At 42.5% G+C, this 27021-nt stretch overlaps 2 protein-coding genes and 1 non-coding gene across 9 annotated transcripts in view, besides 1 other annotated feature; 2 read left to right on the top strand and 1 right to left on the bottom strand.

Moving 5' to 3' along the window:
• The window catches only part of WIPF3 (WAS/WASL interacting protein family member 3), a 110554-nt gene extending 96329 nt beyond the window's left edge, over nt 1-14225 (top strand). For 2 of the 3 annotated variants that reach the window (NM_001080529.3, XM_017012522.2), the window contains 2 exons: nt 1450-1526; nt 11657-14225. In NM_001080529.3, the coding sequence (NP_001073998.2) occupies nt 1450-1526; nt 11657-11680 (101 nt within the window). In that variant the 3' untranslated portion in view covers nt 11681-14225. Of the gene's footprint in view, nt 1-1449; nt 2663-11656 lie in introns of those variants that run through there. The other variant, NM_001391973.1, reaches the window with a different exon arrangement.
• Nucleotides 9692-9796, top strand: LOC124901827 (small nucleolar RNA U13). The gene has a single exon (XR_007060663.1). It is a non-coding gene; the product is annotated as a small nucleolar RNA U13 (small nucleolar RNA).
• Nucleotides 17267-27021, bottom strand: part of SCRN1 (secernin 1) — a 70187-nt gene continuing 60432 nt past the window's right edge. For 3 of the 5 annotated variants that reach the window (NM_001145514.1, NM_001145513.1, XM_047421085.1), the window contains 2 exons: nt 23616-23796; nt 17267-21279 (listed from right to left, as the gene is read on the bottom strand). In NM_001145514.1, coding sequence (NP_001138986.1) covers nt 21121-21279; nt 23616-23796 — 340 coding nt within the window. In that variant the 3' untranslated portion in view covers nt 17267-21120. The remainder of the gene's footprint in view (nt 21280-23615; nt 23797-27021) is intronic. The other 2 variants (NM_001145515.2, NM_014766.5) reach the window with 1 other exon arrangement.
• Nucleotides 26503-27002: an enhancer, noted in NCBI's record as "H3K4me1 hESC enhancer chr7:29968955-29969454 (GRCh37/hg19 assembly coordinates)". NCBI's record gives its function as "activates a minimal SCP1, AML or CMV promoter by ChIP-STARR-seq in primed H9 embryonic stem cells {active_cell/tissue: H9 hESC(primed)}" and the evidence as "EXISTENCE:reporter gene assay evidence [ECO:0000049][PMID:30033119]".

Raw genomic sequence — 27021 nt, forward strand, 5'->3', positions numbered from 1 at the left:
ACAAACAAACAAAAAAGAGCGTGTTTTTTTTTTTTAATGGTGATTCTACCACTTAGAAGGAAACATTTCAGAATATTATTATGTATTTCTCAATGAATTTTTAAAATAGTTGAGATCATTCTATTTATACAAATTCATTTCTCCAAAATGAGTCTTTGTAAATATTCAGTTTCCTGCAGGGTGCAGTAGCTCATGCCTGTAATCCCAGAATTTTGGGAGGCAAAGGCGGGAGGATCACTCGAGTCTGGGAGTTTAAGACCAGCCTGGGAAACATAGTGAGACCCTGTCTCTACAAAAAATTTTAAAAGTTAGCTGAATGTGGTGATGCACACCTGTGATCCCAGCTACTCAGGAGGCTGAGGTGGAAGGATCACTTGAGTCCAGAAGGTTGAGGCTGCAGTGAGTCATGATCATATCACTGCATTCCAGCCTGGGAGACAGAGGGAGACCTTGTCTAAAAAATAAAATAAAATGAAAAATAAAATAATAAAAAAACAGGTGCTTAGTACTCCATCATGTAATACTGAACCCTACGTTACCTAAAAACCTATGTTGAACACAGGTCATTAATTGTTCACTATTATAAATAGTCTATAATGAACATTCATGCTTTTCTGTTGCTTTTTAAATAGCACAGCAATCTGGATTGTTCTGGAGACTTTGGGACATGATTATTTAATGCCTAGTTCATGACAGAAACAGAATAGATAGGTGTCCTACCAGTGCAACAGAGGAAACACCATTTGGAATAACCAGTTGAAGGGAGAGTTCTGGAACACCTGGGAATGGGGATTTAAGCTTGGGTAGACCAACCAAAACATGTATCTGTATATATACAGATGTATGTATGGAAATACCAAAAAGAAAAAAAAAAATTGAAGAGATAAACATCAAACTTTTAGCCATGGTGACTCTGGGATAGAAAATTGGGATTGGGGGAGGAACAAGAAGAGAAGAGGAACTTTGAGGTTTTTTTCCATTATCTCCTTTATTTTTTGAATTCTTAACTATAAGAAGATATTCATATGTAACTTGTGTAATACTTAAGCACAGCACACTTGAGAGAATGATTTGGTTCCTCATGGATGGGAGGCCTGATTTGTCAGCAGTTACTCATCTTTTACTTTTTTAGCCAGCCCTGGTATTGCTGGGCACATTGTGGATAATGGATGAGCATCCCTGGAGATGGTATATTTGGGTAAAGAAGTTCTAACGTGCATTTATTTGATGGGCCTTAATAATTTGTTCTCTTCTCAGAGTATTAGACATGACTCTTCTGCATCCATGGTCTTTGACATAGAAGATGGGAGTGGTGGAAACAGACAGTCTAGGGCCAGGATCCTGAAGGTTTCATTGTTTTAAGTGCTGATTTAGAGAAAGTTTCTCTGTGAAACATGCACACCCGGTCCCTGGGCCAATAGATAATGAGATTGTTCTTTTTTCCTTCAGGCCGTACACCTGGTCCCTGGCTCCAAGCGGAAGCAGTCGGGCAGAGCTCTGATGACATCAAAGGCAGAAATTCTCAGGTAACACAAGCCTCATGTCTCTGAATGTAAAACCAGGAATTCTCCTCAGGAGGCACAGAAATGGTAAGGGTATGCTTTCTCCTAAACAGCTTTATATTTTTCCTCACACTCCTTTTCCTCAGGGAAAGCCATTTGGTGGACCTTTTTTCAAGCCAGAATGAAACACTCACCATTTCAAAATCTGAAGTGTGACAAAAGGGGGCTTCCCTGGAATCACCACTACATATAGAAGCAAGTTTAGCAACTCTGACATTCTGCAACAATCATGCCAATCACTTCCCATTCTTCCTTGGTTATGATGGCCTGTGAGAAAAACTGAATAACATGTATAAAACATAATTCAGTATTCTCTCTCATCTGTAGAATACATGGTTTCTTTTAGCACACTTGGAGTTTTTTTTTCCCCCACCAATGTTATAATTGATTTTGGCCAAATTTAGTCACAATTCAAGTACTAGTACCCACAAGAAATGAACAGAACTAGAAGGCAAGCCAGACAGCTGCTTTTGTGATAAGACAGTCCTTGAAGAAACACCTTTAATCTCACCCAGGGCATCTTGAACCGAATTATTTCCTAACCTGGACACATTTCCCTGCACATGACAGGGTCTCATCTTTAAAAGCCCTTTGTTTCTTTGAAAACATGTATTCAGTCGAACAATAATCTCCCCATTTCTGAATACTATGTGACAGACTACAGAGTCACTTGCAGTTAAACCAGGCAATTCTGCAACTGTGTGGAACATCAAGGAAAGTGACCTGAGAAGGAAGAGGCTAGGTTCCTGGAAGCTAGGATGAGTTCCTCAGAGGAAAAAGTACATCCTCTAGCAGATAAGTATCCCCCTTTTCTAACCACAGCTGATGCAAGAATTGCAGTAACGATTCTTAGACGATCACAGGTTCAAAACTGTGTGTATGATTGTAGTTAAGGAAGAAGTATATATACACAGGAAAAAAGACAGGAAGAATATACACAATATTGTTAACAGGTAGAGAGAATTCTGAGAAGATGGCAGAGGAGAAAGCACCAGGAATCTGTGGACAACAATTGCATTGGCAGAATCTGTCTGATGTAATTTGTCTCATGTATTTTGGAACTCTGGGATTCATTAAAGGCTTGAAACTTCCATGGGAAAGCTTGGACAGTAAATTGTGCTCTTAGTACAATAGTAACTACTCATCCTCCACCCCCCACCCCATGGCAGGCAACTGGGCACGTGTTCCTGGAGCAGCTTGCATACAGCTTGCAGGAGCCAAGGTGGGCACAAAAAAAAAACCCTGTCCTCCAGATACTGGGGAATCTGTTCTCTGATTGGTTATTGCTGCTTCTGATCACAGAGGTACAAATAAAGAGATGGGCAGCCATTGTTGCACCTCCTCTTATTGTTGTAAATCCCTTTCCCTCTGGCTGAAGTGGCCTCCTGGGGATTTCAAGGGCTGGTGGCCATTTTGTTCCTCCTGTCCTTGCTCTTTTTTTTTCCCCATTTGGGAGCCAAACATTAAAGATGAACATTCAAAGGCTACTACATATATGATGAAAATTAGAAAGTGACCACATATGCCCAGGGAAAGGCACAGGCTCAGAAAAGACCAAGAAGACCTTAAGATTACACCTCAGACTGATTCTTAGCACAGAGACAGCCTACAACAATCAAAAAAATAAAATGAACAAAAACAATAAGAAAAACCAGCAAACCCTGGGGGACAGAGAGAATTGATATCTAGAGTTACCACATTATTAGATTAAAATGTAGAGTTTTCAACAACAACAAAAATCACATCATACAAAGAAACAGGAGAGTATGGCCCATTCAAAGGAAGAAAAAAAACAAATCAATAGAGACTGCTCTTAAAAAAGACCTGATGGGAGATCTACTAGACAAAGACTTTAAAACAACTGTCTTAAAGATGCTCAAAGAACTAAAGGAAAATGTGGAGAAAGTCAAGAAACGGATGTATGAACAAAATGGAAGTATCAATAAAGAGGAAAAAAACATTTTCTGGAGCTGAAAAATACAACAAATGAAATGAAAAATTTACTAGAGGGAATAAAAGGCAGACTTGAGCAGGCAGATGAAAGAATCAACAAACTTGAAGATAGGACAACTGAAATTATTGAGTCAGAAGAACAGAAAGAAAAAAAATTAAAAGTGAACAAAGCCTAAGAGACCTGTGGGAGACCATCTAGCAGATTAACACGCTTATTGTGGGAGTTCTAGAAGGAGAAAGGAAAGAAAAAGGGTAAAAAAGACTCTCTGAAGAAATAATAGCTCAAAACTCTCCAAATTTGATGAAAGGCATGAATATAAACATCCAAAATGCTCAGTAAAGTAAGATGAACTAAAAAACCACACCAAAGAAACACTATAATCAAATTTTCAAAAGGCAAAGAGAAAATCTTGAAAACAGCAAGAGAGAAGTGACTCATCACATACAAGGGATCTTCAGTAAGATTATCAGTAAATTTATCATCCAAACTTTGAAGGCCAGAAGGTGGTGAGCCCATATATTCCAAGTGCTAAAAGAAAAAACTGTCAAGCCGTAATTTTCTACCTGGCAAAACCATTCTTAAAAAGTGAGGGAGAAATTAAGATATTCACAGATAAACAAAAGCTGAGGGAGTTTGTTACCACTAGACCTGCCCTGCAAGAATACCCAAGGGAGTCCTAAAGGGTCAAATGAAAGGACACGAAACAGTAACTTGAAGCTGTAGGAAGAAACAATGACCTCACTAAAGGTAACTATATGGCCAATTATAAAATCTAATATTATTGTAACAACAGTTTGTAACTATACTTTTTGTTTTCTACATGATTTAAAAGACAAAACATTTTTAAATTTTTTAGTTTAAAAGCTAGTGTTATTGTAACTTTGGTTTGTAACTATATATTTAGGGTTATACATAATTTAAGAGACTAGTGTATTTAAAAGACTTATTAATTTATGTTTTGGGGCACACAGTATATAAAGATGTAATTTGTTCACATCAACAACTAAAAGGAGTGGTGATGGAGCTGTAAAAAAGCAGATATTTTGTATGTTATTGAATCTAAGCTACTATAAAATCAAATTATAGTCTTACAACTTTAGGATGTTAAGTGTAATTCCTATGGGCTATGGCCTGAATGTTTGTGTCCCTCAAAGTTCATATGCCAAAACCTAATCCCTAATGTGACAGTATTAAAAAAGTTGGGCCTTTGGGGAGGTGATAAACCATGAGGGCAGAGCCCTCATGAATGAGATTAGTGCCCTTATAAAATAGGCATGAGGGAGCTTGTTCATCCCTTTCACCATGTGAAGATGCAGTTTGAAGGCACCATCTAGCAGACAGCGAGCCCTCACAAGACACCATATCTGTTGGTGCCTTGATCTTGGACTTCCCAGCCTCTACAAATTTAAGAAATAAATTTCTGCTGTTTTCATAAATTACTCAGTGTAAGATGCTTTGTTATAGCAGCCTGAAAAGACTAAGACACCATGGTAACCACACAGAAAATAGCTATAGAATATATACAAAAGGAAATGAGAAACAAATTTAAACATTTCACTACAAAAAAAGTCAACTAAACAGAAAAGAAAGGGTATGAGGTACAAAAAAGCTATATAGAAAAGAAGTAGCAAAATGACAGAGTAAATCCCTCCTTGTCAGTAATTGCTTCAAATGCAAACGGATTAAACTTTCCAATCAAAAGACAGAGATTGGCAGAATGGATTTTTAAAAATCTGATCCAACAGTATGCTGTTTACAAGAGACTCAGTTTAGCTATAAAGACAAATAGGTTGAAAGTGAAAGGATGGAAAGAGATATTCCTACTGTGATCAAAAGAGAGCAGGGGTGGCTCTACTAACATCAGGCAAAATAGACATTAAATCAAAAAGTTTACAAGAAACAAAAAGGACATTATATGTTAATACAAGTTTCAATAGAGCAAGAAGACATAACAATTACAGATATTAGTTCACCTAATAACAGACCATCAAAATGCATGAAGCAAAACTGACAGAATTAAAGTGAGAAACAGACCTATAATAATAGCTGAAGAATCAAATATCCTACTCCTAATAATGGGTGAAACAACCAGACAGGAGATAAGGAAAGAAATAGAGAACACAAAAAAGCTGTATATAACAGACATATACAGTACAGTCTACCCAACAACAGCAGTATATACATTCTTCTTAAATGCACATGAGACATTTTCCAGGAGAGTCCATTTGTTAGGCCACAAATTAAGTGTCTTAAATGATTTTAAAAGATAGATATCAGGCCAGGCATGGTGGCTCATGCCTGTAATCCTGGCACTTTGAGAGGCCTAGGTGGGTGGATCACCTGAGGTCAGGAGTTCCAGATCAGCCTGGAACATGGTGAAAACCCATCTCTACTAAAATACAAAAAATACCCGGGCATGGTGGTGGGCACGTGTAGTCCCAGCTACTTGGGAGGCTGAGGTGGGAGAATCACTTGAACCCAGGAGACAGAGGTTGCAGTAAGCCAAGACCGTGCCATTGCACTCTAGCCTGGGCAACAAGAGTGAAACTCCATCTCAAAAAAAAAAAAAAAAAAAGATAGATATCAGACAAAATATCTTTCCTAGCACAGTGGAATAAAATTATAAATCAAGAACAGAAGTAAAACTGGAAAATTCACAAATTTGTAGAAATTAAACACTACACTCTTAAACAACCAATGGATCAAAGAATAAATCAGAAAGGAAACTATAAAACACTTGGAGATTAATTGAAATGAACATACAACATACCAAAATTTATGGAACACTGAAAGCAGTGCTAAGAGGGAGATTTATAGCTATAAATTGTTACATTAAAAAACAAGAAAGTTATCAAATCAGCAACCTAATTTTACAATGTAAAGAGCTAGAAAAAGAAGAACAAACTAAACCTAAAGCTAGCAAGAAGGAAGGAAATGAAGAAAATTAAAACAGAGATCAATGAAATAGAGAACAGAAAAACAATACAGAAAATCAACAAAACCAAAAGTTGGTTATTGAAAAGATTAACAAAACTGACAAACCTTTAGTTAGATAGACTAAGGAAAAAACAGAGAAGACTCAAACTGCTAAAATCAGAAATGAAAGTGGATACATTACTACTAATCCAACTGAAATAAAAAGGATTATAAGAGAGTATTATAAATACTTTTATGCCAAAAAGTTGGATGACCTAGATGAAATGGACACATTTCTAAAAACACAAAACCTACCAAGACCAAATCACAATGAAATAGAAAATCTGGCTGGGCATGGTGGCTTACACATGTAATCACAGGTCTTTGGGAGGTTAAGGTGGGAGAATTGCTTGAGGCCAGGAGTCTGAGCCAGCCTAGACAACATAGCGAACCCTGTCTCTACAAAAAAATTTTTAAATTAGCCAGATATGGTGGTGCGTGGCTGTAGTCTAGCTACTTGGGAGACTGAGGTGAGAAGATTGCTTGAGCCCAGGAGTTTGAGGCTGCAGTGAGCTATGGATTGCACCACTGCACTACACCCTGGGTGACAGAGTGAAACCCTGTCTCAAAAAAAAAAAGAAAAAGAAGATAGAGAGTAGAAGGATGGTTACAAACTAGCGGGGGAGTGGAGTTGGGGATGGTTAATTGGTATAAAAAATAGTTAGAATAAATAAGACCTACTATTTGATAGCACAACAGGGTGACTATAGTCAACAATAATTTAATGGTGCAGTTTAAAATAACTCAAAGAATATAACTGGATTGTCTGTAACCCAAAGATAAATGCTTGAGGGGATGGATACCCGATTTTCCTTGATGTGATGATCACTCATTGCATACCTGTATCAAAACATCTCATGTACCCCATAAATATATACACCTACTATGTACCCACAAAAAAAAAGAAATAGAAAATCTGAATAGACTTATAACTAGTAAGGACATTTAACCATTAATCAAATATCTCCCAAAAAAGAAGAGCTCTGGGCTTCATGGCTTCACTGGTGAATTCTGCCAAACGTTCAAAGAACTAACCCAATCCCTCTAAAAGCTTTCCAAAAAATTGAAGAGGAGGGAACGCTTTTTATCTATTCTATGAGACCAGCATTATCCTGATACCAAAGCCAGCAAAGACACAAGAAAACCGTAGACCAATATCCCTTATAAACACTGATGCAGAAATTCTCAATAAAATACTAGCAAATCAAATCCAGTAGTATATTAAAAGGATTATATACCATGACCAAGTAGGATTTATTCCTGCATGGCAAAGATTATTCAATATATAAAAATCAGTTAATGCAATATATTGCATTAATAGGATGAAGGGAAAAAAACACATGATCATCTCAATTGATGCAGAAAAAGCATTTGACAAAATTGAACACCTTTTCATGATAAAAAAAATTCTCAATAAACTAGGAATAGAAGGAAACTCCCTTAACATAATAAAAGCCATATATGAAAAATCTACAGTGAACATGCCCAATGGTGAAAGACTGAAAGCTTTTGCTTTAAGATCAGGAACAAGGCAAGGATGCCTGCTTTCATCGCTTCTATTCAACATAGTACTGGAAGTCTATCCAGAGCAAAGTTGGGCAAGAAAAAGAAATAAAAGACATCCAAATTGGAAAGCAAGAAGTAAAATTATCTCTGTTTGCAGATGATATGTTGTTATATGTAGAAAATCCTAAAGATTCCACCAAAAAAAAAACTGTTAGAAATAATTCAGCAAAGTAGCAGGATACAAAGTCAACACACAAAAATATGGTTGTATTTCTACACACTAACAATGAGCAATCTGTAACGAAAATTACAGAAACAATTCCATTTATGATAGCATAGAAAAGAATGAAATACTTAGCAGTTAACCAAGCAGGTGAAAGACTTGCATAATGAAAACTATAAAACATGGCTGAAATAAATTAAATAAGACATAAATAAATGCAAACACATCCCATGTTCATGGGTTAGAAGACATTATTGTTAAGATGTCAATACTACCCAAAGCAATCTACAGATTCAGTGTAAACCCTACCGAAATCTCAATGACATTTTCTTCAGAAATAGAAAAACCCAGAATCCTAAAAGAAGAATCCTAAAATTCATATGGAATCTCAAGGAACTCCTTGAGATAGCCACAACAATCTTGAAAAAGAAGAATAAATCTAGGGGACTCACACTTCCTATTTCAAAACTATAATAATCAAAACAGTGTGGTACTGGTATAAAGACAGACATATAGACCAATGGGATAGAATAAAAAGCAATAAATAAATAGAATAAAAAGAAATAAACCCTTGCATGTATGGTCAAATGATTTTAACAAGGGTGCCAAGACCATTCAATAGGGAAAAGGTAGTATTTTCAACAAATGATGCTAGGAACACTGGATATCCCCACATAGAAGAATGAAGTTGGACCCCTTCTAATATCATGTACAAAAATTAACTCAAAATGAATCGAAGACCTAAATGTAGGACCTGAAACTGTAAAACTCTTAGGAGAAAACACAGGGCAAAACCTTCATGACACTGGGTTTGACAATGATTTCTTGGATATGACACTAAAGGCATAGGCAACAGAAGAAAAAATAAGCAAACTGGATTTCATGAAAATCTTTAAAATTTGCATATCAAAGACAATATAAAAAAGAAAAGGCAACCCACAGAATGGGAGGAGGTATTTTCATATCGTGTATCTGATAAGAGATTAATATCCATGATATATACAGAACTTATAAAACTCAACAAGAAAACAAATAACCTAATTTAAAAATGAGCAATGGACTTGAATAGACATTTCTCTAAAGAAGATAAACAAATGGCCAATGAGCATAGGAAAAGTTGCTCAGCATCACTAATCATTAGAGAAATAAAAATCAAAATTACAATGAGATACCACCTCATACACATCAAGACGGCTGCTATCAAAACAAAACAAAATAACAAGTGGTGGCAAAGATGTGGAGAAAATGGAACCCTTATGCACTGTTGGTGAGAATGTGAAATGGTACAGCTGCTGTGGAAAACAGTATGGCAGTTCCTCAAAATATAAAAAACAGAATTACCATATGATCTGGCACTTCCACTTCTGCGTATATACCCAAAAGAACCTAAAGCAGAGCCTGGAAGAGATATTTGTACACCCATGTTCATAGCAGCATTATTTACAATAGCTAAAATGTAGAAGCAACTTGATCCTCTTGTAGTTCATGAGCGTGATGATTGAGTATTCATGTGCATGTGTGAGATGTGCCACTCTCTGAACCTTGTTACAACCTTGGCACATTACCTGTCTGACCTGAACTTGGAAAAATAAAGTAAAATGTAGAAGCAACTCAAGTATCATAGATAGATGAATGGATAAACAAAATGTGATACACGCATGTACAGTGGAATATTATCCAGCTTAAAAAGTAGGAAGTTCTAAAATATGCTTCAACATGGATGAACTTTGAGAACATTATTCTAAGTGAAATAAGCCACTCACAAAAGACAGACACCATATATGCCTCCATTTACCTAAGTACTTACGGTAGTAGAAACAGCAAGTAGACTGGTGCTTGCCAGAGATTAGAGGGAAAAAGAAAATTGAGAGGTATTGTTTAATGGGTACAGTCTCAGTTTTACAAGATGAAAAGAGTTAAACAAAAGTGGGTACTGATGATTGGTTGCAAAACATTATGAATGTATTTAATACCCCTAAACTATACACTTAAAAATGATTACTAGTCAGCTGGGTGTGGTGGCTCATGCCTGTAATCCCAGCACTTTGGGAGGCCAAGGCAGTCGGATCACCTGAGGTTGGGAGTTCGAGACCAGCCTGACCAACATGGAGAAACCCCATCTCTACTAAAAATACAGAATTAGCCAGGCATGGTGGCGCATATCTGTAATCCCAGCTACACGGGAGGCTGAGGCAAGAGAAGCGCTTGAACCCGTGGACGGAGGTTGCGGTGAGCTGAGATCACGCCATTGCACTCCAGCCTGGGCAACAAGAGTGAAACTCCGTCTCAAAAAAAAAAAAAAAAAAGGTTACTAGTGTAAATTTTATGTTATTTATATTGTACCACAATAAAAATGGAGAAAAAATGTTAATAGGCATTCACTCTAGAAGACTATGGCTGATTTGTACTTTCTTCTTTTGGCGTTTATGCAATTTCCAAGTTTTCTACAATGATTATATTATTCCCGTGACCAGGAAAATATAGTAATAATCATAATCATGTTCCTTCATATTCGTATGGCTCTTTACATTTTTCAGTTAGCTTGCATATGTTATATCATCTAATCCTTTTAATAACCCTGTGATGGAAGCTGGAGAGATACCTTTAATGCCATTTTTATAAAAGAGAAAACTTTCTAGAAATTTGAAGAACTTGCCCATGTCACAATGCCCAAACCTTCTGACCTCTTGTTCAGTGCTTCTTCCATAATGCCTCACTGCTTTTCCTGGCATGTTAGAATCTCCAGGGACAAGAATCCTCCTCACTACCAACGTGTCACACACTGTGCAGGATCTGGTCTCCAGCCTCACGGCAGGCATGCACCCAGATCACCTGAGTCTGGTGGTTTTGATCTCCGCCTGCAAGTCTACTCAAAGTGGATTGTAGTCTCCTTTGGGCATTCCACAGTCAAGAAGATCTTTGTATCTCACTGGATACCATCTTAATTCTCACTGCAGTGAGACACAAAACAATTGAGAAATCACTGGGTTCTAGACATTGCAAACAATACCCCAGGGACTGCTCTTTTTTATGGCTAGAGTGGTCAGTGCATGGGGTGGGAGCCCTGGGCTGGAAGTCTGAATGCCTAAATCGGTTTCTTGCTTTTCCACTGCCTTAACTTGGGGTCTCCAGCACGTTTTTTTTATTTCTCTGAGCTTCCTGTCAAGTGAATTGCTGATGATTGGTTCTATAAATGTTTATAAGACAGTATTAGGTCCTCACATACCATCAACTACATACCCCATTTCATCTGGTTTCCACCCACAGCCCCTTGGGTAAAAGTCAGCTCTTTGCATAGGCATCTCCCCAAACTTGACAGCCTTGCATGAATGAGAAGCTTCGGGGCCCAGCCTGTTTGGGGGGGTGGAGGAGGAAGGCTTTCATGTGCAAGAGTCTTCTAACTCCACCTGGTAATGTTCTGTTATGTTTCCACAGTTATCTCTAAAGACTCTTCGGTGAGAAGACAGATGAAGCGAAGGTCCTGGGGTTCCAGGTTGCAGAACAACATGTCAGACCCCACCCACCCCATGCTCAAGCTGTAATTCAGTTGGCATACAGGCTTGGAATTGAGAATTTATTTATTGTAAATATGTGATTTGCACGGGCTTTAAAGCAGTATTTTAATTGACTTTTATTTCGGTAATATTTTTTAAAACACCCCTCATTTTTCCATTTTTTGCATTGCATCTTGGCATTTGTCAGCACAGATAGAGCCCTGTCCCTCCACCTAGTGCCCACTCCATGACTGTGAATCTGCTTGCAGGCTGGCCCTTCCTAGATTCTGAACCGTTTGTAGAGAGTCCTTAGTTTGCAGGTAGCCCCAAAGTTATAAATATCCACAACGGCTTCTTATTGGCATAATTTCATATTCTCATCACACTAACTGCAAAATCAAACCAAATAATGCCTTATCAATGATGCAGCTCAGAGGAAGTAGCGTGTCCCCCACACCCAGACAGTGCCGCGCAGCCTCCAGGGAACGAGGTGCCATGTCTCGCTTCCATTTTGCAGTACAGGGAATTTTTTTTTTTTTTTTTTTTTTTTTTTTTGCTGCCTAATGTAATACATCACAAAGTAAAGGCAAGAGTGGGCTTGGCCCTCCGATGCCAACCACAGGGCCCCTTTTGTAACTGAATAATCCTCCAAGTAGCCAGTGCTCCTACTGTTTACAGTGTCCCTCGTGCCCAAGTCTCTGTCACTTTCATCCTGTTCCCTCCAAGTTCCCAGTCCCATCCCAGTAGCCAGCTTTATGAGATTTTGGTATTTCTTCCCTACAGATTAAAAACATACACAACTCATCATTATGCTAAACTACCAGTTGTATCTCAGAGGTCTCCCCTTCTGCCCTTGCTTCGAGTGTGGACTTCCATGGAAAATATGACATGAAAAAGTGTAGAACGAAACATCGTGTGAAATACCTGCCACAAATACCTAGTGCCTCACTGCCCCCATCTTAGGATCCTTGGAGCCACCCGTCAGGCAAAACCTAGCTCCCTTCTGAGCTAAAGGAGAACCTTGCCTGACAACTCCACATTCATTCCCTTGTGGTGGGCACCTGTCTGTGGGGAGATGTGTGCAAGCTCAGCCACTCTGAATATGGAAAAGGTCAGGCCGGGCTGGTCCTGCTCTTCACTCCCTCTTCTTGATCCTGTAGGGAGTGGAAATGTGTTTTTGCTTGCTGCCTGACCCCTGATGTTCCCCATCTTTGGTCGGGGAAGACTGTGACAGAGGAAGGAGAAAAAATAGAAGGAAACAGACTGATCCCTGGGCTGTGCTCAAAATAGCTGCCCTTTAAAGGAAATCAGGCAGGGAGGGGAGGGAAACCAGCGAAAAAGAAATTTGCTTTGCAACAACCCACGCACACATTCACCCCTGAAGTATATCATGAACAGACCAAGCCATCCAGAAAGGCAGCCGGTCAGGAGGGTGTGGGCAAACATGACTGCATCTGCCTCACTGTTGTCTGGAGTAACGACTCAGGTGGTGTCCTGCAGCAGTGCTGTGCTTTCTCATTCCAGATGGAAGCAAGTGAGCCAGGGTCAAATTCCCTTCTCCAGGGGAATGAATCAAGCCCAAACTGTAACAGCTAAATAAGTAGAAGTTTTTGCAGGTCATCAGCTCTGGGCATAACTAATTTGTTTTATTGGTTCTGGAAGATTTCCAAAAAGCCAGAATTTATTATTATAACAGTGTCCACTCCACTGCCCTCACAGTTGTGTAAAATAATTATAGAAGTTTTAATGATCCTGATTAAGAAGACCCTAGACAAAGGCAATTCCACCTTCAGAGTAGACTGCCTGCCCTAATGAGGTGTTTAGACATTCGTGTCTCCTATGGCTGGGATGGAAATTAAAATAACACTATTTAAGGACAGAGCGGGCCAGGAGCAGTGGCTCATGCAGGTAATCCCAGCATGGGAGGCTGAGGTGGGTGGATTACTTGAGGTTAGGAGTTCAAGACCAGCCTGGCCAACATGGTGAAACCCTGTCTACTCAAATACAAAAAATTAGCCAGGCATGGTGGCTCACACCTGTAATCCCAGCAACTTGGGAGGTTCAGGCACAAGAATTGCTTGAACCCTGGAGGTGGAGGTTGCAGTGAGCTGAGATGGCACCACTGCACTCTAGCCTGGGCAACAGAGCGAGACCCTAACTCAAAAAAAAAAAAGGACAGAGGGGAGGAAGGAGCAGAAACCAAAAATGGCAATTAGGGAGAAATCTCAGGAATGTGGCATCCCATCTCCCCTTGAGACCTATCACTGAATTCACAACCCTTCGAGCTCATGCTGGTGCACTGAGTCCCTTGGGCGCTGTAAAGGTTTAACCCCTTGACTGTAAACTCAGACTTAGAGACATCTGAGTCACACAGTCCCCGCCATTGTCACATATTCTCACTGACACTGCAGTCTGTGACTCCTCCAATGTTTCACGTGTATTTTATATTTATTGATGTCTCCTTCCGCAGATTCATTTCTTTGTACTTAATAAACTTTAGTAAGTGGAAATGCTTCCAGTCGTTTCCTTGTTAAAACCCATCGGTGGTCACCAGTATCAATCTAAACCAAACATTTTTAAGGATCAGGAGAAGTTGAAGTTCTAAGAATGATAGAAAAAAAATAGATATTTACATGGATACGGTGCTTGCTGTAACATACTGTGTTAGAAACAGGGCCTTTCTTTCTTGAGCTAACTAGCCTAATTGGTATTTGGAAAAAACAAGCAAGAAAAAAAAAATTTCTCAGGTGCATTTTTTAAAAAGTAGATAACACTATATTTATTCAGTTTGATTAACACAGAATGGGCAGTGTATTGCTTATAAATTCTGCTAAATTGTGTTGAAATAGAACAACCTTCCCTCTACGTGCACTTAGTCCCCACTCCCAACTCAGCAAACCCCCCAAAAAAGCCTCCTGTAGGAACAGAATCATCTTGAATCCCCCTGTAGTATTTTAAGGTGGACCTTTGGGAACAGGGTTCAGGGGAGGTGAGATTTATCTGCTAGGCAAGCTATCTCAGAGCTAGTGCTTAGAAGGCAAACCAGGATCTGAATCTCCATTTTGCCTCTTACAAGTTGCCTCTTACAATCTGTGCCTCAGCTTCCTCATTTGTCAAAAGGGGACATAAATATGTACCCGAGTGTATATTGGTGAAGATTCAATGATGTAATACACATGGGCAAGCCCTCAACCCTTGGATCACAACGGAGCCAGTGATGCACACCCTGCACCCCGGGGAGCAGCCAGTTTGCTGGTTCCATGCTTGGGCACAAACAGGGCTCTGCTGGCTGCATCCCAGGCACTTCATTCAGTATTTGCTGAGCTACTCAGACCACACTTCACTAACTCTGCTGCTGGATAACAATGAGAGAGCAGTCATTAAAATTCATAGATGTTCCTGAAATAAATCTCATCTAGAAACTAATTTCAAAGCTGGTTACTACACACTTTGCATCAGAATTAGTTAAGGGGCCGTTTTATTGCTCTCTTATTGGTGGAGGTACAGATTGGCTCTTTGATGGCCAAAAGGGCCAGTCTGAATGGGGAAGAAAAAGTAAGGGCCGAAGATAATCTACAAAGTGGATGATGAACTTCAGAGTCACATTGAGCATGGCCGTGGTGAAGTAGCTAGAAGTGTAAGCACCTTTTATGGAGCTAAGTGTGAGAGACGTGCTTCCTAGAGAGGGAGCAAGTTAATGGGAAGGGCCATGGACTCCAGAAGCAAGTTCCAAATTCTCAGACGGTGCCCCGGGAGGCTTCAGCATCCTCCACCCACCCATTCTGTTATGGGTCGAATTGTGTCCCCACAAAAATCCATAGGTTGAAGAAGTCCTAACCCCCAGTACCTCAGAATGTGACCTTATTTAGAAATAGGCCCATTGCAGATATCGTTAGTTAAGATGAGGTCATACTGGATTAGGGTGGGCCCCTGATGCGATATGACTGGTGTCCTTATAAAATGAAGAAATTGGACACAGACATAGACACAGGGAGAACGCCACATGAAGATGAAGGCAGAGATAATCAGGATGCTGCTTCTATGGGTCCCAAAGTGCTGAAGATTGCCAGCAAGCCACCAGAAGGTGGGCAAGAGACATGAAACACATTCTTTCTCACAGCCCTCAGAAGGAACCAACCCTGCAGATGTCTTATTCCTGGGACGTCTGGGCTCCAGAACTGTGAACCAGGAAATTTCTCCTGGTTACGCTGCCCAGTTTGTGGTACTTTGTGACGGCAGCCCCAGCAAAAGAATACAGGCTTTGTCACCCAGAGCTTTGCAGGAGGGTACAATGTTTATGAAAAGAGAGCTGGGAATAAAATTTCAGAATTAGCAGCTCCTTATCATGTAAACAGAGCAGTCATCTACCCTGACCTTGAAATAGGTCATTCATTGCAGGTGACTAAGTCCTATCTTCACGAGCAAGACATTCAGTTGCGTTTTACCTGTCACAGTGGAGAGTCATGGAAAGCAAGCTGGCATTTCTGGGTCACAGGAGTGAAGAGAGCTGGCTTTTTCCCTAAGTGGCATCCTCTCCTGTTGTGGCATTGCTGATGCCTTGGAATCAAGATGTCTGGCACAGAGTACCAGCCACTCTGATGATCTAGACTTCCATTCTAATAACTATGGTAAAATACACATAAAGTCTACCATGCTTACCATGTTTAGTGCTTAATTCATTCGTGTTGCGTACATTCATATTGTTGTACAACCGTCACCACCATCCCTCTCCATAACTTATCTTGCGAAACTTTCTGAAACTCTATACTCATTAAACAGTAACTCCCAATTTCTCCCCCACCTCCAGCCCCTAGCAACCACCCTTCTAATTTCCGTCTCTGTGATTTTGACTGCTCTAGGTACCTCATAGAAATGAAACCATATAATATTCGTGACTGGTTGATTTCACAGAGCATAACATCCTTAAGGTTCATCCATGTAGCATGTCAGAATCTGCTTCCACTTTTTAAGGATGAATAATATTCCATTGTATGGATAGAACACATTTTGTTTCTCCATTCTTCCATCTGTGGATATTTGAGTTGCTTCCAGATTTTAGCACTGTGAATAGTGCTACTATGAACATGGGTGTGCAACCTCTCTTCCAGACCCTACTTTCAATTCTTTTGTGTATACCCAGAAGTGGGATTGCCCGATTATACAGCAGTTCTGTTTTTCATTTTTTGAGCAACTCCATACTGTTTCCCACAATGGATGCACTGTTTTACATTCCCACCAACAGTACATAAGGGTTCCAATTTCTCCACATCCTCACCCACATTTGTTATTTTCTGGTTGTGGTTTTTTGTTGTTGTTGTTGTTTTTGTTTTCAATAGTAGCTATCCTGACGGGTGTGAGGTGATATTTCGTTGTGGTTTTATATTTAAAGACTGAATTTATCCACAGAACATTACATGATGCAAGAAACTGCTGAACTGACTGTTTTCTAAAGATTCTAGCCAGAAAAATATATCCATTCTCATACATTTTCTATATTGCGACTGAGGCCCACGTTTATTCACGAGACACAAAACAGAAGAGGCCACTCCACTGGATGTTAATTTCAGTTTTTTTTATTGTATGCTTGATGCATTTAGAGACAATTCCAAGGGCAAGCACTGGATAGGGATATTATCTGCTTTGTAGATATTTGTACAAAAGACTGTTAAGACTACATGGCCAGTTCCCACTGCAGGAAACAGAATGATTTTCTTTTTTTTTTATTATTATTCCCTGCCAATAGCATTTTCCATCTAACACATTTAAATTCTCACAGCATAATTGCAAACATGTACATATTGGTTCCCACGAGAAATCTGCAGGTGACATTTCGGGATGTTTGGAGTCAATCAGATAAAGCACATTATGACAGAAACCATAAGAGGGGAGCTGGGACCTGGGACTGTGCAGAATGAAAAGCCACGGCTACGGGAAGCATAAGCTTGTGCTGCAACGGCATGTGCACATGACCTGCTGCTCCTGGCCCTCTACGAAGCATGCCCAGCAAGGGAACCTCCTCCGTCCCTCCTCCACGTGCTTCCTTCCTAAGGCTGAGAGCTCAACTGAAGACCTTCCCCAATAAATGACAGATGGCTCTTCAGTCAGGAATGCAGTTAGTGGTTTCATGACAGACACACTGGTCCCACCCGGCTTCCCTGCTGAACCACCCAGTACTGAATAACACCTGTACCAATGTGGGATGACATCAGCTAGGAAGCAAAGTAATTTGCCTGGTTGATGATTATTTTTTATACCTAATGATTCACCCAATAGTAAAGGAACCCCACAGCTAAGGTCTAACAGGCATATACCTGCTCTGTTAGTTTATAAGAAAGACTCGTTCTAATAACACCAGGTCTTATATTATTGAGCACTAAGGAACCTCCATAATTTCGATTATATTCTACCTAAAATTTCAAAGCACCTCCAAGAATGAAAGGGTACTATTTCTGCTTTGCTAATTTACTCCTGCCAGAGCTTCTGTCCTTGAATATGAGGGCTATCTTCACCTATAGTAAATCCCATCTATTAGACAAGACTAGCTAGCTTATGTTTGGTTATGGGGCAAGGGAGTGGGGGAGAGATTCTGTCCTTTCTGGCTATGGCTTCTTTCTGCACAAGCATGCTCAGCCCCCACCCCAGTCTGAAAAGATACACAAAGGGTTTCCTAGGAAGCTACTTATACACTATGACCCTTAAACATAATTTTTGTATTTCATCTTGAATATTCATGTTCCCTATACTGCCTTCAGAAAAGCAATCCCTGGTCCACAAATTATTCATGTAACAAGCATTTTTCAAAAGCAAAATCTGTTAGGAACATTTAAAAATGAACATTCCTCACTATAACAGCCTGCTCAAAACCCAACAACCTATTTCCAGCTGTTAATATAAGTACATAAAGTCACTAAAAGTAAGCGCAGCCACATCAGCAGATTCTCTGCTCTCTTGTCGTCTTTCTCCACCCATCCCAATGCACAACTGTCAACTGTGCTTATAGACCACCTCCAGACCTGATGGGAGCTGCCACACCCCTTTTAACTTTTGCCAGGCTGTACCATGCCCTCTAGTGGTAGGACTAGGACATCACAATTGTGGTGCAGAGTATTAGCCAAGACAGCTCTCAATTAGGGTTGCCTTCTTTAAGATGCTTGACCAAGGTCAATGTACCCTAACAGAAGTAGCCATTGTGTTTCCCAATGGGTAATGACATAAAGCGGGTAGGGTTATCCATGGCCTTTGTTTGGCCCATAGAAATGAAAGGAGGCTTCTGTGTAATTAATTCTTACTAGACTTCTTTTGATCAAATCCTGAATCACCTTGGTTATCTCAGACATGTCAGGTCTGATGAGACATTTCATAGTAGGCGAAGGTGAAATCACTCAGTGAGATTTTAGAGCAGCTTTCTGTATCATCTTGCTTTACATAGCCACTTGGAACATGGACTTGGGAGGGGAGAGTTACCTACGTCATCCTCGAACCTCACTTTCCCCCCCCCTTAACAGTGATAGAAAGACACTTTTAGAATAGCCGCCCCACCTAAAAGGACACTCTAAATTCACCAACAGTGAAAGCCCAGGCCAAACCTGCGTGAAGCTCTTAGCAGCTACAGGCCACCATTATTGGTTGCCATTAACTCTGTCAGCTGAAATCGTCTTCCCATCACCCACAATGTGTGGTTAATGATTTTATATACAGAGTTTACAAAACTGCTGACTAAAAAGCTCATGGCACTCCTATACTCACGCTCTGGAGAGTTGGTAGAAAAAAAGAATGTGTTCTGATAAAACCTCTGATCCTCACTGTTCACATCCATGTAACAGGGCTCGGTCCCCTCAAAATCTCATGATACAGCTTCTGGGAAGGAGTTATTAACCCTGTCACTTCCCAGATTGCTGATACTCACAATGTTTCCATTTGCAGATTCCTGCCAAGAATGATGAGGCAGGATTAGGCCCAACTGGTGCTCTCCCACTAGCTGCTGTATTTACATACACTTCTGTTCATCATCTCTGCCCGTTTCAGGAGTAGCTGAGAGCTTGAATAGGTGGCGGTAAGCTCCCACCACCACCCCATGCCCAGTGCAGCTACCCGCCTGAATGAAGGCAGCTCCTGGGACATGTGAGGTGTGAGGAGTGGGGGGAAGATCCAGGGAAGTCAGCTGCTTTGTATTTGGGTTTGTGGGATGTAATGGCCTTGGCAGGAATGGTGGGGCCTGAACTGGTATCCTGCAGAGAAATGCTTCTATATCCATCTATCACCTCCTTGCCCTCTGTCTTCCCAATGCTAAGCCCATCTGGTCTTCCTTGCATGCTTTTCTATGCTCTGGTGGTAAGTCAAATCCTTTAAGTGAACCCGACATTGGAAACAAATCAGTTTAATTAAAGTCTCTCTGCTGAGATAATGTAGTGACTGCTAGGATTCCAGATATTTAACTAGAATCTAAATAGTCAAGAGTTCTTCCTTTTCTTTCCCTCCTTGGCTGAGAGATTCACTACTCTGTGGGTGGAACTGTGCCATAGGGCCATTCAATTACTCCTAGACTAGCTGTTGGTAACTAGACTGGGAATCATTTCTACACAAGGAATCCTGTGATGGCTGTGCTGCTGTGTGGGGAGAGCTGCCTCCTGGGACATCCATGCAGTGATTCAGAAGGCCACCAGCATGGCTATGTCTGAATCTCGGAAGTGAATAGGTTCCAGCTAACAAATTATCAGCTCTCCTGTAAGTGGAAGCAGCTCTGCAGTCCACCACACATAAGCACAGCGCATGGAAAATGGGAAGACAGCTTCTTCAGGAGCCCAGGATGTAGGAAGGAGCCAGGACTGGAGAGGGGTCCCTTTCTTCCTTCCAATTGGTTCTGCCCCCCAGAAGACACCTGTAGAGACACTGTGCACTACAGGCATGCACTCACGGGAGGCCACGGAGGGTCCCCTTGACAACACACACAAGAGCCCTGTGTGTGTGCACAAATGCCTCTTGTTAACCTGAAAGAAACCGCTACTGAGGGAAAGACTAAGACTTCAAAAGAATTTGCTTTTCCCGCCAACTCGGCACTGTGAAGCCTGCCTTTCAAGGCTTGATGAACTCTAGTCCTCTTGTAAAAGGCTAATGTGTCCATTGCCACTGAAATACAATAATAGCAGCTTAAAATCCACAATTAGTCACACAACCGAACAACAGGCAACGGGATACATGTTACACTGCACAGGAAGGAGACCTACATTGCAGAAGGGGACGCTGTGAGATTCAAGGTGGAACACAAGGTAACAGTTTGATCTGGCTTCAGAAAAGGAGGCCACATATTAACTTTCTCATTTTACTCAAACAGGAGAGTGGTTTGTTTTGCTGGTAATTTAGTAAGGTGGGAAGTCTTAAATAAGAAGGGGAAAGGGAACGCTTACTTCACTTAAAGAACTTAATCTCCGTGTCAACACAGTCATAGAAAAGGTCCCCCACTTCCGCAGGGTCCAGTGGCTCGGAGCTGGTCAGGATTTCTTCCATGGCTTCCAGGCCTTGCTTCTCCAGCTCCAGCATGGTGCTCCTCAGCTTGCGACCTTGCTCCTGAGGAAGGACACGACTGCTTTAGGTGTCAGCAAAATAGCAGGGGACATTGCAGCGGACACTGAAACCCTCTAGGGGGCCAGCTGGCTTCCTGCTCAAGGTCCTGTCCTCCCCACACTCCGTTTCACACACGACTGCCGCAGGGATTGTTCTAGAATGCCAGTATGATTATGTCACTGCCCGGCTTAGAACACCTGCACAGCTTTCTGCTGCCTTCAGGACAAAGCCCAGACCCCAGAGTGACACTGAGGGAAGGCCCTTCTGACATCCAAGACCACTTCCCCTGCATCTCCCCACTCCTCAGCTGGACTGAATTCACTGTAGCCCTCCAGCCTCTGCTGCTGTCTCGCCCCTGCACAGGTGGCCCTGCCCTCTGGAGGGCCATCCCCTTTCTCAGCGCTTGGTCGACGTGCACCCATCTTCAGCTTCCTTGCAAAGCCTTTCCTCTTCCCCGCACAGTGCCACACCGTTCCCCCTGCCATGGGCGCTGTCTCCCACCTTGTGCTGGCTTGCCTCTGCAGCTGTGGCCCCTTGGATGGGAACTGGGCTCATTTCTATCCTCCAGTGACTGGGAGGGCACTCTCAAAAAATGTTCATTGAATGAAAAAAAAAATGGATCAATGAATAAACAGGTGCCATGTCTCTCCCCTGTTCACTCTTTTTCTGAGATGGTGAGTTCACTTCTTCCATGGGACTCACTCATTTATGGCAGATGACAGTGAAAGCTTTCATTTGCCCCATGAGTCCCAGAACTGAGAAGCTGCTCTCACCACCCGCCCACCACTGCTTCATGCAGCATCATGTGACTCCACCTGAGAGTCATTTGTAAATTTCAAAACCCACCAGCCTCAGCAGCCTCATCTTGAACACACAGCCCTTTCTACCTCTTCATTCTAATGAACCAAATACCCAAAACACCATACACCACACAGCGACAGTTTTCATCTACTTGGGGCTTATGGTCATCCACCAAGAACATAAGCACTATCAGGAACTAATGTGGACAGCCCTGGAGAAAACACAGTTGAATGCAGTGGCAGCATGCATGCTTCCGATTATCTGCCAGCCTTTTTAGGCTGGCAGGGAGGAGAGATGTAAAATAACTGTGCGACCTTTACGTGTCAAATGGTCACTTCTATGGAAGAGAAGGGCAAGCTCTCAGAAAAGTGAGACAGCCCTTCTCAGAGATGCTTTCTGAATTCATCTGGATTTATTGCTTGGATTTTTCTCTTGATATCCTTTTTCTATAGTCCACCATGTCAAATGCAAGAGGCTCACACAGTCCACAGCACCAATTTACACAAAAGGTCCCCCTTTTGGGCCCTTCAGGCCAGTTTGGACCTATTAAAAGTTGTTACATAAATAGTTGGGGAAAACTGATGAGTGTCTAACAAGCACGTTCCTTCTTCCTCTCTTCAGCAAAATATAGGCTTGAATTTATATAAAGTCCATCGGGGTGGCTGCTGTGGACACACTGGGTGCTGTGGAACGTGCTTTGGGTGGTTTTCTTGTTTGAATTGATGACTTATCACTTTATTAACCAAAGGTGTGGGACTGGGGAGAGCTGCACTTTGAAGGATTACGACTTCTTTTTTAAAACTAGGAATATGAGTCTGGGCGCGGTGGCTCCTGCTTGTAATCCCAGCACTTTGGGAGGCAGAAGCAGGTGGATTGCTTGAGCTCAGGAGTTCAAGACCAGCCTGGCCAACAGGGTGAAACCCCGTCTCTACTAAAAATACAAAAAAAAAAAAAAAAAACCCTAGGAATATGAGAATATTTTCTAAAACTATGTTTGTACTATGGTAAAACATATGTATTATAACATAAGATTGACCATTTAAAAACTTTAAAATGTATAGTTCAGTGCATTAAGCTCATTCACAATGTTGTGCAACCAGCACCACCAGCCAACTCCAGAACTTTTTTGAAACAACATATGATTGTATCTTTAATAAAATGTTGCCAGCAAATAACAACTTTTTACCCCCAAAAGTACATAAGGAATTTTACACAATATATAACAGTTATCCCTAACGTACTGCATATTCCTATTATTCCTACGTAAACAGTAAATGTAAGTAAGATACTCAGCCTGCTGAATTCCAAAATAACATGAGAAGCAGAAGCTTTGTCTTATTTGGTTTCAAGAGCCTGGGCAGGAAAATGGACACCAGCCTTCTAGGAAAGGCCCCAGGAACCTGGTCTCTGGGAGAAGCCCGGTCACACTGGATGGGTGGGGGTAGGGTCTAGCTTGACATCTGCTTCCCTGCCTCCTTCCTCGCTGACCTCGCCCGCCCGCCTCCGCCTCCGCCTCTGTGGCCCTCATGCAAGCTCACCTGGTCACTTTCGATGATGGCACGTGCCCACTCGTGGGCTTTGTACAGCTCATGCCGGCGGTCTGGTTTCTCCTGGAACCGAGGCTCCTTTTTGGCAGGGTCGTCATCCCCAAAACAGGGAGACTGTGTTTTGGGGACAAGTTTTACGTCATCAACAAAGATGAAAGGCTTGAATATGGACCTGGAGAGGAAGGAGAGGCACTTCAGCCAGGCAGAGGCTGGGACCCGGGAACACCCAGAGACTGTCCTTTTATTCAGCAAACATTTCCCAAGCCAACTTATGGTGGGTGGTGGGTGTGGGTGACGGGTGGGTGGGTGAGTGCCAAGAGAGACATAACTGCATGTTTTAGTCGCTATTTTAGCAAAACTGCAGCCATTTACAAGCTGCAAATTCCTCTACTTACAGCAAAGAGACATCAAAACAGACTTCCTTTGTTCTGAACCATTTGAGAGGACTCTTTTAGCAATAAAAAGTGAGGCAAACAAACAGTGTTCTGAGAAACGGTGCAAGGAGCCATCTAGCTGAGCGAGAGAGGTTTGCCTTTTTTTTTTTTAATACCGTGGTCTGAGAAGCAGCCTTTGGGAAAGGAAGGGCCTTTTGGTTTGGGTTTGTTTTTAGTTTTTTTCTGAGGTTCTACCTTACTGAAAAATCTATGGAATATCTCTGACAGACCCAAGGAGGGGACAGAGTAAGAAAGATGACAGAAGAGGCCTTGGAGGGTGCACACCACACAGAAGTCTGGTTGTGTGAGAGAGCTAGCACAGGGCACAGCAGGTAGCTAATGCCCCCCAGCTCTCTTCAATTCAGTTCTCTCGGCAGGATGGATGTTATCTTCGGGAAAATGGCTGTGCGTATGCCTGCATGTGTGTGTACTTGTACAAGTCTAGGATACATCACCCCCCCACCCACCCACCCACACACACACACACACACAAGAGCCACGCATATAAACAGCTGTGGCCTGGGATCCCAGGCCAACGGGCTAAGGGACCACTATGGCCAACTGTAACGCCGGGGAGAGAGCCTTATCCTACCCTCCCCACATCCAGAGGAAACACTGCTGGATCAGAGGGCTGCTCCTGGCAGGCATGGGCACCTCTGCGTCCCAAGGATTGCCTGTTTTCAGCTGTACCATGGGGCAGCACCTGCAATAACAGCAGGAGAGAAGGAACTCCCCATATGTGCCCCATATGTATAGGTCAGATTTGTCAGATTTGGACATTTTTTTCTCCTCTCAACAGGTGCACTGTGGCCCACCTCGGGTACCTCAAGTGGGCTAGAGGTGAGCTAGGATGTTGATTCCCTCAGCCCTGGGGCATCTGGAGCTTGAGGAAGCCAGGGCAGCCTTGCCAGTATGGCACACAGGTATGAATATTTTCAGGTATGGGCAAGGTATGGTGGCTCACACCTGTAATCCCAGCATTTTGGGAGGCTGGGGCAGGTGGATCACTTGAGGTCAGGAGTTCGAGCCCAGCCTGGCCAACATGGTAAAACCCCGTTTCTACTAAAAATAAAAAAAAATTAGCCGGATGTGGTGGAGTGCTCCTGTAATCCCAGCTACTCAGGAGGTTGAGGTGGAAGAGTCGCTGGAACCCAGGAGGCAGAGGTTGCAGTGAGCCAAGATCATGCCATCGCACTCCGGCCTGGGTGACTGAGCGAGACTTTGTCTCAAAAACAAACAAACAGACAAAGAAAAACTATTTTCAGGTATGCCATGACCTGAAAAGGACTGGGAGCCAATAACCCTTGCCAGCCAATTTTGTCCTCGGACTTGCAGCAACAGTATCGGCTGCAGAACCTCAGGCCCCACCCTGTCCTGCTGAATCAGAATCTGCAATTTTAACAAGATCCCTGCGGATTCATAACATATCCCAGTCTGAAGAGCACTACTAAAGACACAACAGTAATGAGAAGTACTCTCTTAGGTTAGCTTCCTGATGTTGCCATGGGACAGGAGTCTCAAGTGAGAAAAGAAAGACACTGATCACAATATGCAAAATTGGGGCCCAGACTAATTTAATTTGAGTATTAAAAGCAGTGAGACCTTCGTACCCCAAGCTGGTGAACTGAGTGGTACTAGTTGAGGACTAGTGTCAGGTACTCTGCTGTTCTCTATAGATGACGCAAATATAATTGGAGACTGGGCCCATCTCCGATCCACTGGGAAGCATAAGGCATGCCAGGCTGCGCCCACCTGCTCAAAGTCAAGCCCTGCCAAGAACCTACCCTCCCTAGCCATCATCAAAAGAAGACCCCCTAAAGACATAGGGGAGCTACCCTTGCACAGAAGGAACACACACTTCCACTTCCTACAGCCCCTTGAAAATAGATGATTGCTATACCCCTCTACTGAGTGTTGAATGAATGGCTGTTGAATATGAAAAAGGAATTATTGCAAAACCTAAAACTGTTTAAACCAATTTTTACTATATGAAATTGAATTCTTTAACTGGTGAGTCAGTTGATTCTGCAAAAGGGCTGCAGATGGAGGGCTCGCTGCAATGGAGCAGTGGGGAGGAGGAGGGCCAGGAGAGAGCACGCCTAGCCATCCACAACCAGCTGTCTCCAGGCTACCTCTGGGCTCTGACAGCAGGACTGTCTCACTACAGACAGGCGTCCTACCCTTGAGGGCCAGACAGCACTCGGGGTTTCCTGGGAAGTCAGCGCATGTCACCTCAGCAGCATCAGCCTCTTTCACTGGCACAGAAACCCTTCAGTGGTAGACAGGCCCGGGGCTCCCACCCAGCAGCCCAGAGTCAGCTCGGTTCACATCTTCTCAGCTCCAGGGCTCTGCGCTGGGCAGAACTGGGCAAAGCCAAGACTCCCACCTGGGCTGGTAGGCTTCACGGTGGAACTGGTGCAGGCTCAACACCTGGCAGGCAAGGGAACTGCGACCACGCCCTCCTGCGGAGCCTACTGAGCAGGCCCCATGCAATGCTACTTCATTCAATCCCCATGCCACTCCAAAGCCCACTCCAAACCCAAGTGGGAGCAGTATCTTCATCAGGAAACCTGCCATTTCACTCCTAAAACCTCAGTGCTTCCCTTACTGCGCATCTCAGGACTCTTCTGACACAGGACCCCTTGGGAGAGCCATGCCAAGAAGTGAGGGAAGGGGACAGCCTGGCAGCACCGCTGGGCGGAGCTACCTCCCACAGAGCAGGGCAGGGAACTGGGCTGGGACTTGGAACGGGGGTGTGAGTCCCCGCTTTGCGTCTGACCCACTGTGGGTCCATGTTTTCCCTCTCTGGCTCTCATCTGACTACAGTGATCTCAACAGTCCCTTCTAGCTTCTACAACTCGTTTATTTCTATTTCTGTCATGAAGCTTGTAAACTTGTGATGCCAGCTTCAGTAAGCTCATGCTAACCACAGTCAGGGTCTTCTGTATTCAATATAGGATAAA

The sequence above is a fragment of the Homo sapiens genome, chromosome 7 (genome assembly GCF_000001405.40).
Source record: "Homo sapiens chromosome 7, GRCh38.p14 Primary Assembly".
NCBI lineage: Eukaryota > Metazoa > Chordata > Mammalia > Primates > Hominidae > Homo > Homo sapiens.